General features: G+C 46.0%; 1 protein-coding gene across 8 annotated transcripts in view; it reads right to left on the reverse strand.

The window, feature by feature from the left end:
- Positions 1–18,914, reverse strand: part of NDUFA10 (NADH:ubiquinone oxidoreductase subunit A10) — a 132,901-nt gene that overhangs the window by 74,895 nt on the left and 39,092 nt on the right. The window contains exon 10 of one of the 8 annotated variants that reach the window (NM_001410987.1): positions 1,884–2,426. The exons of 6 other annotated variants lie outside the window; for them this stretch is intronic. In NM_001410987.1, the coding sequence (NP_001397916.1) occupies positions 2,337–2,426 (90 nt within the window). In that variant the 3' untranslated portion in view covers positions 1,884–2,336. Of the gene's footprint in view, positions 1–1,883; positions 2,427–5,303; positions 6,326–18,914 lie in introns of those variants that run through there. One more of the 8 variants, NM_001322019.2, reaches the window with a different exon arrangement.

Consider the following 18,914-nt stretch of genomic DNA (forward strand, 5'->3'; position numbering starts at 1 on the left):
TCGCCGCTGACTGCTTCTGTAAATGAGGCCTCACTGGCACAACCTGGCCCATGCATTTACACACTGGCTGGTGGTGCTTTCACACAGCACAGAGCTGAGCGGCTGTGAGAGGCTGTGTGGCCCGCAGAGCTGGGAACCTTTACTCTCTGGCTCTTTAAAGGAAACCTTTGCTGATCACTGGCCTAAGAAAGTACAGGAAGGTAACAACAAGACAGTAAAGCTGAGTCCACGACGTGGTTTAAGTTCACTTAGCCCACAATTACTTCCTAAGTGCCCACAGGTACGAGGTCCTGTGCCGGCTAAGTGCCTACAGGTGCCAGGTCCTGCGCCTGGCAACAGCGGGGAACAGGGTGATTCTCCAGCTCCAGGTGAGGTCGCAGAGGCAGCTGAAACGTGCTGTTCTTTGATCCAAAGTGACGCCACTGAGTTTGTGTGATTCAACGTAAGGACTGGATGAGTTCTGATGTTAGAAAAGTGTCCACTTCTAAATGCTACAGCCAACCTGGGATCTGTGCCATGAGGGCCAAGGCCGCACAATGAGGTTTCTCCCAGGCTCTTCTCTTGGGTGCACAATTTAGACATGCCCTATATAGTGCTTCAAATGCCAGCTGTTCGCACAGAAATCAGTCAAGGAAAAAAATATACACACACACACACACACACACACACACACAGTCACTCATTCTAATGGAGGAAACTCCTTCTACTGGTGAAACGCTGTGTCCTAACTACTTTGAGAGAGATGAACGAAGCCAGTCCTCTCTTCTCTGGCTAGAAAAACCTAGAAATGAGTTGGAATGTGGGAGAAGCCCAAAGTAGAAGATGGAAGGTGATGGAGGGCGAAAAGGGTGGAGAAATCCTACCTGACCAACACGGAGAGAGGCTTCAGGTGCAGACAGCATGCGGATCAGCAGGGAAGAGGTGGCCATTCAGGAGGAGGGAGGAGGCAGCAAATGCACGCAATGCGCAGAGCACGGCCTCCGCTGAGCAGCGAGCACAGACTTCAGCTTTGTGGTCTTAAAGAAGCCCTGACATGGAAAAATGCCCCCTCCCGAAATACACTTCAGACTTCAGTTAACGTGAACTATGCAGCTCCTGGGCAATCAGTTATACTGTTAGGGCCTAAGTGAGAGGCACCAGGCCAAGTAGTAGTCAACAGTTTCCTTTCATGAGGCAGTAACAGGGTCTGTACTTGCCTCCCAGCCAGATACATTTAGAAACTGGAGAAACTGAGTCTGGTGGTTGCATCTGACTCTGGGCAGGACACAGTGACTAGATTTTACGGAGTAGAGCACTAAAGGGGTGGGGCCTAGGCAGAAAAAGAGCTCCAGAAATCTGCACAGGGGACCCACTCGGTCTCTGGCTGAGTAGCCATCAGTGTGTGCAGGGGGTAAAACTCCATGAAGCTGGACAAAGTCGACTTCTGGGAAAGAACAGTTTCCAGGGAGTTGCAAGCAGATGACTCCCAGAGTTCACTTAGGGCTGAGAGTCGGCGAGCTCCCACTGGCCAGAGCAGAGGGGCCTCTCGCTGCACGCATGCAGCATTCAACAGGGACCCCATGGCCATGCCTTGATACTGGGCTAAGCCCTTCCTGAAGAAAGCCCATTGCAGGCTCACCAGAAAGCTGAAACATCAAGCCTCAAAAGGTTTACACTGACTTGCAAGTACCTTAACTGCTGTCAGAAAAAAAGTTCTAACACAGTTCAAAGGAATAGAACAAGATCTAGCACTCAAAAACGTAAAATTTGCAACGTATGGCAAAGCAATGAGACATCTCTCGGCGTATGAAACAGGAAAATGTAACCCATAACAAGGGGAAAATATCAAGCCAACTCAGAACTGACAAAGACGATGAATTAGGAAACAAAGACATTACAACAGCTGTTATAAAAATGTTCAGTATGCTCTAAGAATTAAATGAAAAACATAAGGAGAGAACTGGAAAACATAAAAAGCACCAAACAGAATTTCTAGAGCTAAAAAACAGGATTCCTAAAACACAATTCTATTGGATAAGTGTGGTGGCCATGAAAATGTGCTCTGCCGAGCTCCTACTGCAGGGAGGAAAGTGTGCTCCTCTGCAACGCTCCTGCTGCTCCTGACCCTCAGGATCTGCTGCCTGTTCATGCCACGGCCACGCACGTTACAGAATGTGCCTGGTCAGTGATGGAGCACAGAAGAGCTTCTGGTGCCAGCTGTTCCTGTGGACATGGGACTCCCTGACAGGCATCTTTGGCTCTAGGACACTCATCAGCCTGGCCAAATCTTTCCTGGATTCTTTCTTCCTGTCTCTTGTCACAGTCCCGCAAGGAAGAGCAAAGGCTCTCCTGCCATCTCAGACTTCCTCTCCCCGATCCTTCAAAGGTGTTTTCTTCCAACAGACCTCTTCGACATCTAATCTCTTGGCTTCTGATTCTTGGAAGACCTAAACCAACACAATGCAATTAACAGCATATCATACACCCACAGAAGATAAGTGAGCTTGAAGGCAGAGCAGCAGAAACTATCCAAAATTAGGCACAGAAAGAAAAAGGCCAAAAACAAATGGACAGAGTCACAGGGACCTGTGGAAAATAGCAAGTCACCTAATGCATGGATACATAAGAGTCCCCAAAAGGGGGAGGATAGAAAAAAATCTGAAGAAATGATAACCAAACACTTTCCATGTGTTCTGAAAATGATAATCCTGCCACCCAAGAAACTCAATAAACCCCAGGCAGGATAAATACCAAGAAAACCACGCAGATGCATGCCATAATTAAATTATGAAAAACTAGTAAGAAAAAGATCACGAGAAAATCTTACAAACAACCAAAGGGAAAAAAGGTTCATCAGGGACAAGAACCAAAGCTAGGAAGAACTGCAGTCTTCTCATTAGAAACTATGCAAGCCAAGAGGCAATGGAATATCTTTTATGTGTTGGAGGGGAAAAAAAAACTGTCAACCTAGAATTCTATATCAAAAGAAAATACTCAACAAAATGAAGTTGAACTATATATTTTCAGAAAAGCAACAGCTAATAGAATTCACTGCTCCCAGATCTGTTCTATAACAACTGCTAAAGGAAGTTATTCACACAGGAGAAAGATGATGCCGGGTGGAAACTCAGGTCCACACAAAGGAATGAAGCACATCAGAAATGGTAGAGGGAAGGATAAAAGACTAAAAGACTAAAAAATTGTTTCAATCTCTTTAAAAGATAACTTACTGTTTAAAGCCAAAATCACAACAGTCCATTGTGTGGTTTCTGTGAAAGTATATGAGAATAACAGCACAAAGAACACAGAGGGCAGGAACAGCTGTGGCCTCGGGCCAGATACCTGCATTCTGTGTGAGGCGGTTAAATGCTGACAAGGTGTGGATTGACTGTGACAAGTTAGAGTTGCCCGTGGTGAAACCCTACAGCAATCATCAGAAATGAAATAAAGAGGGGTAGCTCGTAAGGCCACAAAGGAAATAAGATGGAATTACAGTACATAACCATTCTAAAAAGAACTTAGGAAAAGATGTAAATGTGAATCTCACCTGCTATTATATATGGTTGAAATGTAAGGTAAGAATGAGCAGGTAGTTCAGCCAGAGAGGGCACCTCACCTCCCTCTAAGAAAGTTCCTATCCAGGGTTTGGCTAATAACAACAGATGTCACTGAATCATTCATTTTTATGGACAAGCTTCTCTGTGTCATTATTTCAGTTTTTGCAAAGACAGCCTCTAACACTTAACAGCCCTACTACTGCTCTAGGCAGTTACTTATCAGAGAACTACAGTAATGAAAGAAGTGCCACATAAAAACATTCTCAAATGCTACTTTGTAAGAAGAAAGCAGAAAAGAACTTATTTGGTGAGTGAATGTGATTAACTTGATAGTAGATATATCTCAGGAAATGTCATTCAGGAGAAAGCCAAAGAAACCTCCTGAACAAGCACCTCCCCGCCCAGGTACATCGCAAGGGTCTCCAAGTAGGTCTTCCTTGAGTGTGGCAGCTGACTTGCTATTCCTGGCCAAGGCCATGGCTTTTCTCTACTGAACACCTATGCCACTCACTCTTTTTGAAGTGCTGTCCTGAGCCACCTCTGCCTCCTCGAATCCTGCCATGAAATAATGCCCCTTCCTTCTCAGAGCTCCCTTCATCCTTTGACTTTTCTTTGGTACTCATCACAAAGTTATGTCCAATGCAATCATTGATACACTTACTGATATTAGTGGGCAGCCTCTAAGTAGAAACCTTTTTACTAGTGTTATTTCCTGTGACCCTGACAGCATGAGGTAAAGGAAGGCACAGTCTCTGTTTTAAAAGAGACAGGGTGTTCAGAGACTTGACTTGCCTACGGTCACGTGGCTAGCTGGTGGCAGGCTGAAAGTGGAGCCCCGATCTTTTAATGATCAAGTCCAGGATCTTTTTCCCACTACAGCATGTAAATATTCGTTGAATTAAATTGTAACTTTTAGTGTGCTAACTCTTAAAAATAACACAATAAGCTCTTTCCTCAATCACATACTACTTATACGAGGTTTTACTGAATTCCCCTCATTCCCTCCAATTTTCCATTTATCTGTCAATCAGCATATATATAGTAAAGGTATGTTGCTCAAGGTCTCAGCTATGAGATTTCTTGGGTGTCTGTTAGGTTATGGTCCACAATCCACTCTACCCAGATAAAGGTGACTCCAATCTTTCTGCAGGTCCTTTCGTATGTAACTCAAAGCACTTCTCTTGGGGGATGTTTATATCCTAGTAGTCACCTCAGGGACATTCAAGGATGCTCAGTTTCCCAGCTGAAAGAGTTTTCATGAAGGATGTGTGTGTGTGTGTGTGTGTGTGTGTGTGTGTACATGTATACATATATTTGTAAATATATTGATAAATATTATACATATAAATAAATATGTGTATATTCCAGCAACAAACCCTTTATTGTATTACTGTAAATATATAAATTAAACAAAAAAACGATTGAGTGAGGGCCTGTGTACCGGGTGGGCTTCACTCTGCTGGGGCAAGCAATGGGTTATGCCAAGCATGACTGGCTCCCCTCTCTCTAGATGCACTAAGGAGCTTCAAAATACTGCAAAGTTCTGGGGTGATTTGGAAATTCCAGTTTCCAACTCCTATTTTCCATTATAACATATAAATGCTAATCAATTCTGCTTGGAGTTTTTCATTAATTTTAAAGAAGAGCACTATAGATATTAAAGACACTTCTCTGATACACAATTTCCCTTAATTTCCATTACTGTAGAACACAAATCGAATGTAACAAAATTGGCATAAATTTTCAAAAAATCTTTTAACAGTCAACTTTCAAAAACCATATTTTTATTTTGAAAATGTGTGTTCTATTTTTTAACACATAAAACTATAGCTTCCTACAAATATATCATTATTTAGCTGTCATATTTGTTGCAATGAGTATTAACAATAGTTCAAATGTCTTAATCCTCCTTAACTCTTATTAGCTGTGAATAATAGAAAAGCTCCTAACCTAAGTGCTTGTTTTAAACCTGAAAATGGTATGCTTTCTAAAAATTCTAAAGTAAATACAATCATATGTAACACACTGTAAAGTCAGGGCACTTGATTTTCCAGATTGCATGTAAGACAGTATCTTACCACTTTCCATCAGTAGACAGGCAGATACCACATACCACAGCAATCACATACAAACCAATGGACCTGGTAAAGATCACCTTTTATGCTCATCATCTTCTTCGAGGGACACATGCTGATAATTTTCCATACACAGAGATGTAAATAACTCGGGCATACAGATTAACGCCGAGTTTCTATGATTAATTTCCACAGTGCAGGTGGCAGGGCACAAAGTGGAGAGAACACTGAAGGCATTACGCATTTACTTTCAAACTTAATTAAGTAACTTATAAACTGAAAATTTGTATTTTAACACAACTAGATACCAAACTGAGTTCCAAGTAAGGTCTGAATGTCATGAGGAACCTAAAGCAGTCACGTCTGGCCTTCCGTCTCCCGCATGTTTAGGTAAACTGATCCTAGTGCCTTTCTGTAAGGTGAATTTCATAAAGGCAAGAACATACAGTATTAACATATTAAAGTTAATAAAAACATCTCTGTTTTAAAAAATGGTAAGGGAGAACTCAATACTGAAAATGAAAACAACTTGAGATAGTAAAAGAAACAAAAATAGCAGGCGAGAAAACAGAAGATTCTGTTGTCCTAGCAACTATCTTGGACACGATCAGCTTCAAGGAGGGAACGATCAGCTTCAAGGAGGGAACGATCAGCTTCAAGGAGGGAGCACAGTATCTTAACAGCATCTGGCTTCCTTCCATTGAAGAGACTGAACTGGTAAAATAGAAACCAAATCACAGTTTGTCTAATCCAAAGAAGGGCTGTACAGAAATAAAAAGTGACCTGATACAATGTTTAAAACGTGACTTTAAAAAATCAGCAGCCTGTCCTGCACACATTCAGTATTTTCATGAACTTACACAGGGTCAATTCCGGGCACAAAATGAGGAGGGTCGCTAAGGAAAAACATGTTCATATATATTGCTCAGACCCCAGGTACACATGCCCCACTGAAAATGCTGCTTTACTTATTTATTTTTATTTAATTTTAGTTTTTTTGAGATGGAGTCTCACTCTGTTGCCCAGGCTAGAACACAGTGGCAATTCTGGCCCACTGCAACCCCCGCCTCCTGGATTCAAGTGATTCTCATGCCTCAGCCTCCCGAGTAGGTGGGATTACAGGTGCTCGCCACCACGCCTGGCTAATTCTTGTGTTTTTTAGGAAGAGACAGGGTTTCTCCATGTTGGCCAGGCTGATCTCCAACTCCTGACCTCAAGTCATCCGCCCGCCTCAACCTCCCAAAGTGCTGGGATTACAGGCGTGAGCCACTGCACCCAATGAAAACGCTGTTTTAGATGAAAACTTGGATTCCTGAGGCATCAGTGCCCTAGCGCTGGGTGTCGCCTAGAGTGTGGACAGGTGCCTGAGAGCCATCAGGACACTAGCCAGACAAGTGACAAGACAAACACTCCAAGGTCACAGGATCAACAAAACCAAAAATCATAAACCCTTCTATTCATATGAAAATCTAAGATCCACTCTGCTGTGAAAAGGTCTTTCTTTACTCGTCTGTGTACCCATGTCACCAGCATGTTCATCAAATGAGAGTGTGGATGTCCCCTCCAAATCTCATGCTGAGATGTAACTCACAGTGTCAGAGGTGGGGCCTGGTGGGAAGTGTTTGGATCATGCGGGCTGATCCCTCATGAATGGCTTGGGCCATCTCCTTGGTGATGAGTAGGCTCTTACTCTGAGTTCACACAAGACCTGGTCATTTAAAAATATGTGACACTCTACCACCAAAGATCTGGTCATTTAAAAATACGTGACACTCCGCCACCAAAGAGCTGGTCATTTAAAAATATGTGACACTCTGCCACCAAAGATCTGGTCATTTAAAAATATGTGACACTCTGCCACCAAAGATCTGGTCATTTAAAAATATGTGACACTCTGCCACCAAAGAGCTGGTCATTTAAAACTATGTGACACTCTACCACCAAAGAGCTGGTCATTTAAAAATATGTGACACTCCGCCACCAAAGAGCTGGTCATTTAAAAACATGTGACACTCCTCCGCCACCAAAGAGCTGGTCATTTAAAAACATGTGACACTCCTCCGCCACCAAAGAGCTGGTCATTTAAAAATATGTGACAGACACTCCGCCACCAAAGATCTGGTCATTTAAAAATATGTGACACTCCGCCACCAAAGATCTGGTCATTTAAAAATATGTGACACTCTGCCACCAAAGATCTGGTCATTTAAAAATATGTGACACTCTGCTGCCCCATTCTCTTGCTCCTGCCTTATTAGGATGTACCTGCTTCCCCTTTACCGTCTACCATGATTGTAAGTTTCCTGAGGCCTCCCCAGAAGCAGAAGTTGCTATGCTTCCTGTACAGCCTGCAGAACCGTGAGCCAATAAAACCCTCTTAAATAAATTATCCAGTCTCAGACATTTATTTATAGCAATGCGAGAACAGCCTAATACAACCCCCACACCTTAGTCTGTGCATGGTGCTCACCCCAGGGGCCCTGCAAGAAGCAGGGAAATGGGAAGCAGCATGGCCGCCCGGCCACACTTGCCCAAATGTGAGTCCTGCCCTCCCAGAAGCTGCAGGACCTCAGAAAGCCACTGTGTCAAACTGCTCATTTGCAAATGGGAATAAGAATAATAGTGTCTTCTTGTGGCAACAGCATAGTGCCCAGCACACAGAAGGTGCTCGGGGTGACCTGGTATTGTTACCACTGCGATCAGCAGCAGAAGTGGTGCCCTCTTCAGCCTCAGTCTCTCTGCTCTTTCCCCTTCTTGTCAGGTCCTATTCAGCCCATGACACTCCAGCCCCCAGCCCATAATCCTTCCTTCCACCAGCCTCTCCCCACCTCGCAGGCCATGGCTGCCAGATTAATCCTAAGTGCCTCCTGGATCAAGCGTCCACACTTCCTCCCTATTGCCAGCCACCCTCCTGGATCCCAGACCGTCGGTTCTGTATCTCTCGCTGTTCCCAACCAAAGCCACAGCACCAGCCAGGAAAATGTCATCTTAACCATCACTCCACATCATCCATTTAGTAGTCCTACCTTGAGCTCTGGGTCTCTGTTTTAAAATTTATCTGATAGGGTTTCTAATAGTCAAGAAGTTACTCTAAATAAAGCCCATAAATCCTCAGTATCTATGAATCTTAAATTCTGGTTCAAATTCCAACATCTCTGACCACCTTTCTTAATCATCCCATCAACGCTGATGAGAAGTTCTTCACACTGCAATTCCAGGCTTGGTTACATAACAATGTGCAATGCCCTCTGACTCTGCTATATTTGAACTCCTCGGGTTAATCTCATGCCTGCTGTAACCCCCACGTGGCTTAGGATGGAAAGTAAGCTCCACGGTCCACCCTGAGACCCTGTGCGATCTCGCCCCACTCGCCACCCTCCCCACCTGTTCTGTCTCCTTTCCCTTCACATCATGGCCCTTGCCGGCCATGCCCTGCAGCCTCCGGCCTTCACAGCCATCCTCCTTCTCCCTCAACTGCCCCCCCCAAGACTCTACTTGGCAAACTCATACCCATCCTGTGAGGTGCGAGTCTTGAGACCCCAGACACAGCAACCTACCGCACATCCCTACCCTCTCACGGGTCCCCACAGCCTCTGGGATTCCATCGCATCATCTGCGCACGTGTCTCTGCCGAGTCTCCAGGGTGTGGAAACTGGGTTGTGTCTCCAGCCCTGGTGCAGTGTCTGGCACTGAGTGCGGTGAAATGGGGGCCAGACGAATGCACAGGGAAGGTGGAGCTCCCGCCGACAGGCTGAACAGCCTTGAGTGTACTGAAGAGTGACAAGGAGGAGCCACAGCAGAAGGCGAGGCGACTCCACCATGCGGAGCCAGAAACTATGAGCTGTGGCAGAGGCTGAGAGCGCTCAGAGTGGCCCTAGGAAGGAGTTCCAGTAAAAAGACATGATTCTCTCAGTAAGAGCAGCTCCCAGAACACTGGCAACTTCTGGGGCACCACTGATTTAGACAACTGCAACCCAAACAGCAGCTGTGCACCTCTTAGAATTACACAAGGGCAAGCAAAGCAAAAATTACAGAACCCCAAGAAGAAAAACGAGTTGGCTGGACCCCTCCCAGACTCAGGTCTTGGTGCCTTTGACTCCATCCAGCCACAGGAAGAGCTGGGAAACCTTCCCCCGCCAAGCAGATCTCCCTAAACTCAGACTGGAAGCCAGGTTCAGGGATAAGGAAACACAGACAAGAGAGACAGCAAGTCTAGAATGGGCAACTGGACCTTCTTCCTAACAGTAACGAAGGCCACTGGACCCCAACTGCCGTCTTCTCGTGTTGTTCAAAGTCACCCATCCATTGGCAGGTGCAGGTGGGCGAGCACAGGCACCTGGGATCCGGAGCCCCATGAGCTGCCACTGCTCCTGCCAGCGTCCCGCCACTGTCCCTGAGTATGGCGTGCTAGGCCCTCTAACTCGCCCCTGACACTGCTCCTGTTTCTGGAGTCCCCATTTAAGGGTGCAGTTGATGGGAAAGAGCAGGCTTCCCAGACACCTAGAAGAGGCAGCCAGGCCCTTCACGCAGGTGAGAGGATTCACAGGGACCTGAACCACTGTGTGGAGATCTGACTCCACGAGTGCTCCACAGCTGGACGACCGTGCCCCTTAAAGGCCAGTCAAGACATCTCCAAAACCAATCTGTTCCAGAGAGACTCATTAGCCATCACATCCAGGATGTTCAACCATGTATATTTATAATGTTAAGCACACAAACTGCTGCTTTCACGCTAGGAGAACGTAAATATGACACATCAAATGGCTGTAATCTACTGTCTGGAACTGGCCCTGTGATGTGAAGAGCACCAGTGGATTTTAATCAAGGAATGAGATGCTTCAATGACAATGGCCAACGTGGTCACTGGGCCTGGTCAACCACCCAGCATGGGTCAGCTGGCTTTCTCAGCTACGCTCGCAGCACCCTGGATGTAGGTTCTGTGCCTCCACTCCACACATGGCCAATCCAACAGAGTGTCTCCCCATGGGAGGAAAGAGCCCTCACCCACCCCTCCAGCCTCCCCTCAGCAGACTAGGTTGGGGTCCTATGAAACAAACAGTGATCTGGCCTGGCCACGCCTGCTTGGTGAACTGGGATCTCTGATGAGCTGAGAGGCCTCCCTGCCTCTGGGATCCCTGCTTGGTGAACTGGGATCTCTGAGGAGCCAAGAGGCCCCCCTGCCTCTGGGATCCCTGCTCCATCAACGGTCCCATTCCTCTCTTGCATCTTTTCCCTCTTTCCACAAGCACTTACCCTTTTGCCTATAAACACACTGAGAATGCCTTAGCCCTTAAAAACAAGACAAAATAACAAGCTATAGAAGATGGAATCTCTAATTCCCACCAGTCTCCTGACACTTCTCTCAAGGTTCACCTATGACCTGGTCATCAACGCAGTATCCTGGGCATGGTCAACCTTCACCACCCCTGACCTTCCTGCGGCCTCTGACAGACACTGAAGCTCCTCTACAGGCTCCTCTGCTGGCGCCCAGGGCCCACACAGTCTGGCCTGCCTCCTAATACTCTGGCGAGCTTGGTCCTCTTCACCAGCTCTTCTTCCTTTCAGCAGAAAGCTCTTCTGACCAACCCCGATTGGATCACTCACAAGCCAGCCTACACAGGACACCAAGTGGCAGGACCTGCTCCCACTGGCCCACAGGCACTTCTGTCCCTCCCACCAAGTGGTATGAGTCAGTGGTCTGTTTCCCAGCAGCGACGCCAGTTGTACTTGTCATTGCAATTGCAAAATTTAATTAAATGTTATGAAAACTACGCGTCTGAAAAGGAAGAGCTGCTGTTCTGTTAAAACTAGGCTGAAACACTTTGGAACCATTTGATGAAGGTGAGTCGCTAAAATAAGGTCTATTGAAATAGGTGTGGGCGAACCACCTGTAGGTGATTTGGGGAAGAATTCTGTCTTCCCACCGTTTGTATGCTTTTTAGAAACCTAAAAAAGGAGTTTCTGCTTATAAAAGAACTTGAGCTCTAATAAAAAAGTATCTTAAAAGACATGGAGCTCTTTTCATGTGAAAGTTAGAATAACGGCTTTGTTTCAATATATAAGCTCCAAACAGATTTCAGAAATTAGCTCAGACACAGGGTGGGCGAGCCTCCCCAGCGTCACACCACTCCCTGAGAAGTGTGCTCCTGTGTAACCCTTTCTGGGCTCATCCATCCATCAGTAAATTAAATTAAACATAAGGGTCAGGAAAAGATCCATGAGGAAGTATGCCTGGGATTCCTAAATTAAAGCCTTTACACCAAAGTTCCTTTGTTACAAACGGCAAATTCCTATCTTAGAACCCCACCCCACAGCCCACCCCACCCAGCTGCCACTACCTGTCTCTATTGTGCTTTATAGTTAGACCCCAGTGCTGGCTGAACTGGCTCCACCCCTCTCCTCCAGTCACACACACAACTCTGCAGGAGAGGCAACACAGCAGAGGCCCAGGGCTCCACCGTCCGGTGAGGAAAGGCCACCACCAGGCCCTCAGCAGCCCGCTCCCCACCCTGCACCTCTTCCCTGACTCCCTCTGCTGGAATCCTTCAGCAATAGTCTGCTTAATTTTGAAAACCTAAAAAGCAAGAAGCAACTTGGCTGGGCAAGGAGGGGCAACAATGCCCCTGTTAAGTGGGGGCTCTCGGGAAAAGAGACAGTGCCTACTCTCAGCGCCCCCGCCCATAGCACCAGCACTCTCACCTGCACCACCAGGACCCTCCCTGACCGCCTTGGCCCTCTGCCTTTGCCCCCACAGTTGATACTCGACGTGGCAAGCAGAGCAACCCTTTAAACCTGAGACCCAGATGATGCCACTCTCTGGCGCACCAACGCCACCACCTCACCAGGAGTACCGCTGAACTGAGGTCCCCGTGGCAGCTGCGGACCCCGGCTGACCTTGGCCTGCTGCCTTTTCAGCTCACTCCCTGCTCAAGCTCACCCCACCCGCATCACACCTCACCATGACGGGCTCTTCTCTAGCTCCAGACCATGTCCACCTGTTCCTGCCTTCCGGGGGGTGCCTGCTCCCCTACACCCCCACATCCCTCACTCCCCTGTGGCGCCTGCTCCCCTACACCCCCACATCCCTCAGTCCCCTGCGTCAGGTGCCTGAGACCTCTCTCCACATGGCAGCCTCCTCGCTGTGCTTTCTCCAAGACCCTGGCACCCTGTTACCTGTCTATCATCTGTTCTCCCTGCCCACTAGGAGGTGAGCTGCATGAGGGCAGGGCTTGGCTTCACTCTCGGGTGTGGCCCCAATGCTTACAACAGTGCCTGGCACGATAAAGATCTAATCAGGGCTAAGTGCAGAAGTGGTAGGACACTGGGATGACACTGTCGGGCAGGGGGTCTGAAATGTCAGGCTTGGCAGCAGGTATTGGGATAAACTGTCATTCCTACTACCTTAGCACTCCCAAGATGCCTGACTCTATCTCTGGGATAGAACTCAGATTAAATTAAAAGGCAAGAATTCTTTGATCAGCCAGGTTTCCCTTCTGTGCCTTCGGGGTTGGGGATTTAATCAATTCTGCATTCTGGGGGACTGTTCATTGGGTAAATACCTATTGAGTATATAAAATGTAGACTTTCTAATTCAGACAGGTCCTCCACAGAATGGCTACAGAAAGAACCAGCACCAAAACAGGGTTTCCAGTTATAAAGAAAAATAGGGGAGCCTTCCATTTCTAGCAAAACAGCAGCCCTAATATGCAGAAAAGCTTCTTGATATAAAAACCTCTGGAAATGCTTCTACATGTACAGCTGAGCTCCGCAAGAAATCACAAAGGGCTAAGAAGGAAGAGTGAGTGGAAAAGCCAGAGTGGTGAGCTGAAGCCGCGGTGCCCTCGGGACGCCCAAGAGCTGCAGAGAGCCACAAGACACGGCCTGGTGTCCCTGTGAGGTGACTCCTGAAGGGCCACACCTCAGTGCGGGGAGAAGGCCTCCTGCCAGCAAGGAGACCCCAGCTGGCACCCAGTGGTGAAACCATTCTCCACTGGGAATTCGTAACCAGAGCTTCTCTCCACACAGGTTCGAGGGTTGAAATTTGCATTACCTCCAGGGCCTGGAATACCACAAGCAACAAAGGTGCCATCAATCCCTCCCTGCTCCTCAGGAATCTGAGGCCTGGCAGCAGCAAAGGGTCCTTTCAGGAGTAGGGCTGCCAGGACTGAGAAATCATATAGGATACCCGGTTAAAAACCTTGGGACATACTTATACTAAAATACTAGCTGCTCTCAGTTCAAGCTTACCTTGGCATCCTGTACTTCATCTGGCAACCTGACTCAGGAGGGACCCACTCTCACCAAATGCCCATGGATGGAGCCCCACAGGGCAGAAGCTCTGTACCCAAAGTCTCCAACACAGTCAAGAAAAGAAGCCACCATGGGTGAGAAAAAGAAGAAACAACGAACAAGATCAGACAGCGTCCAGAGCAGCGCTCCAGAGACAGAGCATAAAATAACTAGGTTTAAAATGTCTACAGAGAGAAGCAATGGGGGAATTACCAACAAGGAATAAGATCCTACCAACAAGATGCAAATAGCACTGGCATAAAGAAAAATTCAAATCTAGACCCATCTCACAAAACTACAAAAACACTAAAGTCAGAAAAATCAGGAAAATCCTGGAAGAAAAACGAAGACTATAATCCTTAATCTAAAGAATAAAGGTCAAAGCATTACTCGTTTTCCAAGAATCAGAAGTGCTACCTAATAACTCCTAACCTCCAGGTATCAACAAGGACAATACCCATCATAAAACATGCATGCAACGTCCTGGGCATGTTACAATACACAGACCACCTATTTACAGAAGCACAGTGCAAGTATATTTTAAGTTTCTCATGAAATTATAAGGCATAGTTTTAGTAATTTTATTATTTTTAGAAAATTAATTGGGATTATAGAAATTCTCATGTTAATGGCAGAATTTGGCTAAAACACATATTTTCAACATTAAAAAAAAAAAAGTCTCCCAGAAAGCGAGAAATTGCCTAGCAGGGTAATGGGCTTCTAAGAACCACTGCCATGAAAAGGCATCCATGGCCTCCACTTGCTCCAGGAAATAACCGGCTGCCAACTACCTTCTGCTCTAATAGTCACACGTTCTGTGGAATGTCCTCAAATGCTGTTTGCTCCCCTGCAGCAAACCAGTGACCTGACACGTGTACCTGAAGACCGATGAGAAGGTCTTCCCACCTCCAAAGACCAGTGAGAAGCACTTCAGGACCCTCTCTTGTACTCTGCACAGCCCGCTGCGGGTAGGGGATCCCCAGCTACAAGGTTAGACGAAACAATTCTGTTCACCTCGCCTCTGACAAAGGCCGACTTTACTTTTCTTTAGTTACTTGTCTTTTGCAATTTTCATAAAGCAAAACCTGAACTCTTTTCTAAAAAGATTCTTGTCTTGATTGTATTTACTGTTTCTTCTAACGTGTAATTATAGAAAACAGCATTTAATTTTGTTAGCAATTCAAACATCACAATAATTCTTGCTAAACCTCAGAACCTCTAACTGTGACCCAACTAAAAACAACTTCAACTGTCTTTGCCTGGTGGCCTCTGCGAGTTGAGGTGTCAGAGACTGATGGCTCCTTGGGCTCTGGCATGTTCTCCATCTGTTCTGATGAGATCAGACATACCTCCACCTGCACACATTCCTGTCTCCAGGCCCTATCTCTTCCTATACACTTTCCATTTTTCTAGCTATGCCTGTTGTCTCCAGCTGAACTAGACAGAAATGAGATGAAGGCAACCTGAAACACAAATGATCCAAGAGAAACTACATTTTCATGAACATTTGCCTTCCTATTACACCATTAGTATTTGTTTTCAAAAGAAGGAAAAGAGTTGGAGAAAATGGGTTTTATAGTTAGGGTTTGATTTTTAACGTGTTTTTAGAGCAACAGTTGTTTTTTCCGCTCAGCATCTGATGGAAATTGCTGCTAGCACAAGCTGTCTGTCGGGTGGCCAGATAAAAGGAAGCCACTCTCACCAGGGTGGGGCCTTTTGTTAGAAATAAAAACCCTCCATCTCCTCCTACTCCTGGGGAAGGCCTGCACTCTCTCAGGGGTGTGTGCAAGGAGTTACAGAAGGCTTCACACAAGACATTTCAGTATTCGCTTCCTTGTCTGCTAAGGGCTCTACCGAAGTCACTCAGGTCAGAATGAAGCTCCCTGAGGGGCCCCCTGAGCACAGGCTCAGGAGGGAGGGGACTACCGGAGGGGAGGGAGCTTTCCCCAGTACCCAGAGAAGCCAATCTAGAAAGCAGCTCTGCAACCCATGCAGAGAGCCTTTTGTGAGAAGCCACAAACCTTCCCAGATCTGAAACAGCTGCACATGAAACCCAGAGGGGCTTTGTTCATTCACCTCCAGGTATCCCCACAATGCTGTTTCCAGAAGGAAATGCAATGAGAACTGCTGCTGATGTCTCTGATGGACAAAAGGAATTCTATGAATTTCCAGAAATGGTCATTATTATTTATTACTATTTAATTTCAACTGATCATTTTTTAATATCAAGCAACCGAATTTCCTTAAACAAAATCCTCTAAACAGTCAGACAATTCTTACTCAACAAAGGAACATAAAGGCTGTGGTGTGCATGGGGCTTTCTGGAAAGAGGAAGAGCAGCTTCCAGTGGAGACCCAGCAAGCACGACCTCAGCCAGGAGCCCACGGTCAGGGCCACGGTGCCAGGCTGCACTGACAGCAAGTGCCCCTGATGCTTCACCTCTGTGGATTCCTCCCCAAAACACACAGTCCAATCTAATCGCTAGAGAAACATCGGGCAACCCTCAACTGAGGGAGAGTCTACAAAATACCTCACCAGCACTCCTTATTAAAAACAAAGTCTGAGAAAATGTTACAACCAAGAGGTACCTAAGGAGACATGAGGACCCAATGTCATGTGATATTCTAGACGGGGTATTGGAACAGAAAAAGGACATTAGGGAAAAACTAAGGTAATCTGAATAATTCAAAGTGTGGGCTTTAGTTAACAATAAGGGCCGAATTTGGTGGCTCACACCTGTAATCCCAGCACTTTGGGAGGCTGAGGTGGCCAGATCACTTGAGGTCAGGAGTTTGAGACCAGCCTGGCCATGATGGTGCAACCCCATCTCTACTAAAAATACAAAAATTAGCTGGGCATGGTAGCAGGCACCTATAATACCAGCTACTTAGGAGGCTGAGGCACAAGAATCGCTTAAACCCGGGAGGTGGAGGTTACAGTGAGTCAAGATCATGCCATTGCACTCCAGCCTGGGCGATAGAGTGACAATCGGTTTCCAAAAAAAAAAAACAAAAAACAAAAACCCAGTAAGTATTATTAATTCATTAATTATAACAAGTGTACCATACTCACAGAAGAAGTTAATAAAATGGAAACTGGATGTGAGATATGAGAGCTCACTACTACCGTCACGGTTTTTCTGTAAATCTAAAACTGTTCTAAACATTCAAGTTTACTTTTTGAAATGCTTAGAAATTTAAAAATCGGATTTTCCCAGTCATTTAAATACGATTCAAAATTTTAACATTTCTAAACATTTAATTCAAACCACAAGCCCAATATCATATATTCTCTTAGATTCTCTTTAATGCTCACAAACTGAAAAGCAGACAAAACCACATAAAACACAGTGATTGAAAAACTGCTAGGTGAGCTCACCATGTAACTGTTAAAACGGCTAACACATCTGTCCCCTCCTGAACAACCAAACAGGGGACAATGTAGAAAAGAATTCTACAAAGGCAACATCAGGCTGTAAAGGCAACAGGGCAGGGAGGGCCCTGGATGCCAAGGTCCAGAGAAGAAGCAAACACAGCTGGGCTGCACGTTCCCGTCCCTGAGGCGCTCCCTGGTCCCACCAGCAGAGCCGGGGGGCTGAGAAGCCCGGCAGAGCTTTCAGCAGCAGGAGTGCACTGTGGGGCCAAACATGCAGTTCAGGACCCAACAAAAAGAAGGGACCCTGGCAAAAATGGCCTCTCAGTAAGCGCAAGCTAGAAACACTCCAGACCTCACAAAACGGAAGCCCAGCGTCACCAGCTTGCTTCCTGAGCGCTCTCAGGGGACCTGCCCTGACCTCCATGCCTGCCAGAAGACGGTAAAGCGCATCCTCTCCAGGGTGAGATGACTCCAGGCAAAGTCTCCACAAAAAATGACTGCCATTGGAAAACAACAAAACACCAATGATGAGGCCACCAAACGCCAAGATTAAACAACCCCAAACCAAACGTTAGGGACCAGACCACTCACACAGGCCTACAAAAGACACAGATACTGCAATTATCAGATAATTCTGTGTAACTTTGTGATGAATATGTTTAAGAAATTAGATGACAAAATAATATCAGCAGTAAACTTGAAATTATAACAATGAAAACTCTAGAATCAAAAACAAACCAGGATGAAAATTCAAAACTCAAATATAAGAAATACAGGTCTAACAACAGATTAGAACGAGCTGAAAGGATGATTAGTAACTTGAAAGGCAGTTTAGAAGAACACATCTAGGCTGATGCACACTCAAAAAAAAAAAAAAGACAAGATATACAGAAAGGAGCAGACACACGAAGAATATGGTGCATGGTGAAAAGGTCCAACATATGACCAACTGGAACCGAAAGAGAGCAGAGAGAAAATATGGCAAGAGTAATACAGACACACTGTGGGACGCCAAGGCAGACAGAAAATGTGGCAAGAGCGATACAGACACACTTTGGGAGGCCAAGGCAGGCAGATCACCTGAGATCAGGAGTTTGAGACTAGCCTGGCCAACATGGTGAAAACTTGTCTCTACTAAAAATACAAAAAATTAGCTGGGCATGGTGGCGCATGCCTGTAGTCCCAACTACTCGGGAGGCTGAGGCAGCAGAATCGCTTGAACCTGGGAGGCAGAGGTTGCAATGAGCTGAGATCACACCACTGCACTCCAGCCTGGGTGACAAGAGTGAGATTCTGTCTCAAAAAAAAAAAAAAAAAAAAAAGTGCTACAGACAATGAACACCAGCCAAAGGCTCAAAGAGTGTTATGAACCTCAGGCCAAGTGAGTACAGACGCACATGCACACCTACTTACACAACACACACCCCAGAGAGTATAAATGCATAAAACCAAGTCAGAAAAATCTCTTTTAAAAAGAAGGGGAAAAAACCTGCCAGAGAAATAAGAAATATCTTCCGAAGAGGAACTACCATTAGAAACACAAAAGCCAGAAGTATAAAAAACAGTGAAGTTTGGAAGCACTGAAAGAAAATATTGGCAATTTAAAACTCAATACCCAATGAAAATAACCTGCAGGAAT

The sequence above is a fragment of the Homo sapiens genome, chromosome 2 (genome assembly GCF_000001405.40).
Source record: "Homo sapiens chromosome 2, GRCh38.p14 Primary Assembly".
In the NCBI taxonomy this organism is placed as follows: Eukaryota; Metazoa; Chordata; class Mammalia; order Primates; family Hominidae; genus Homo; species Homo sapiens.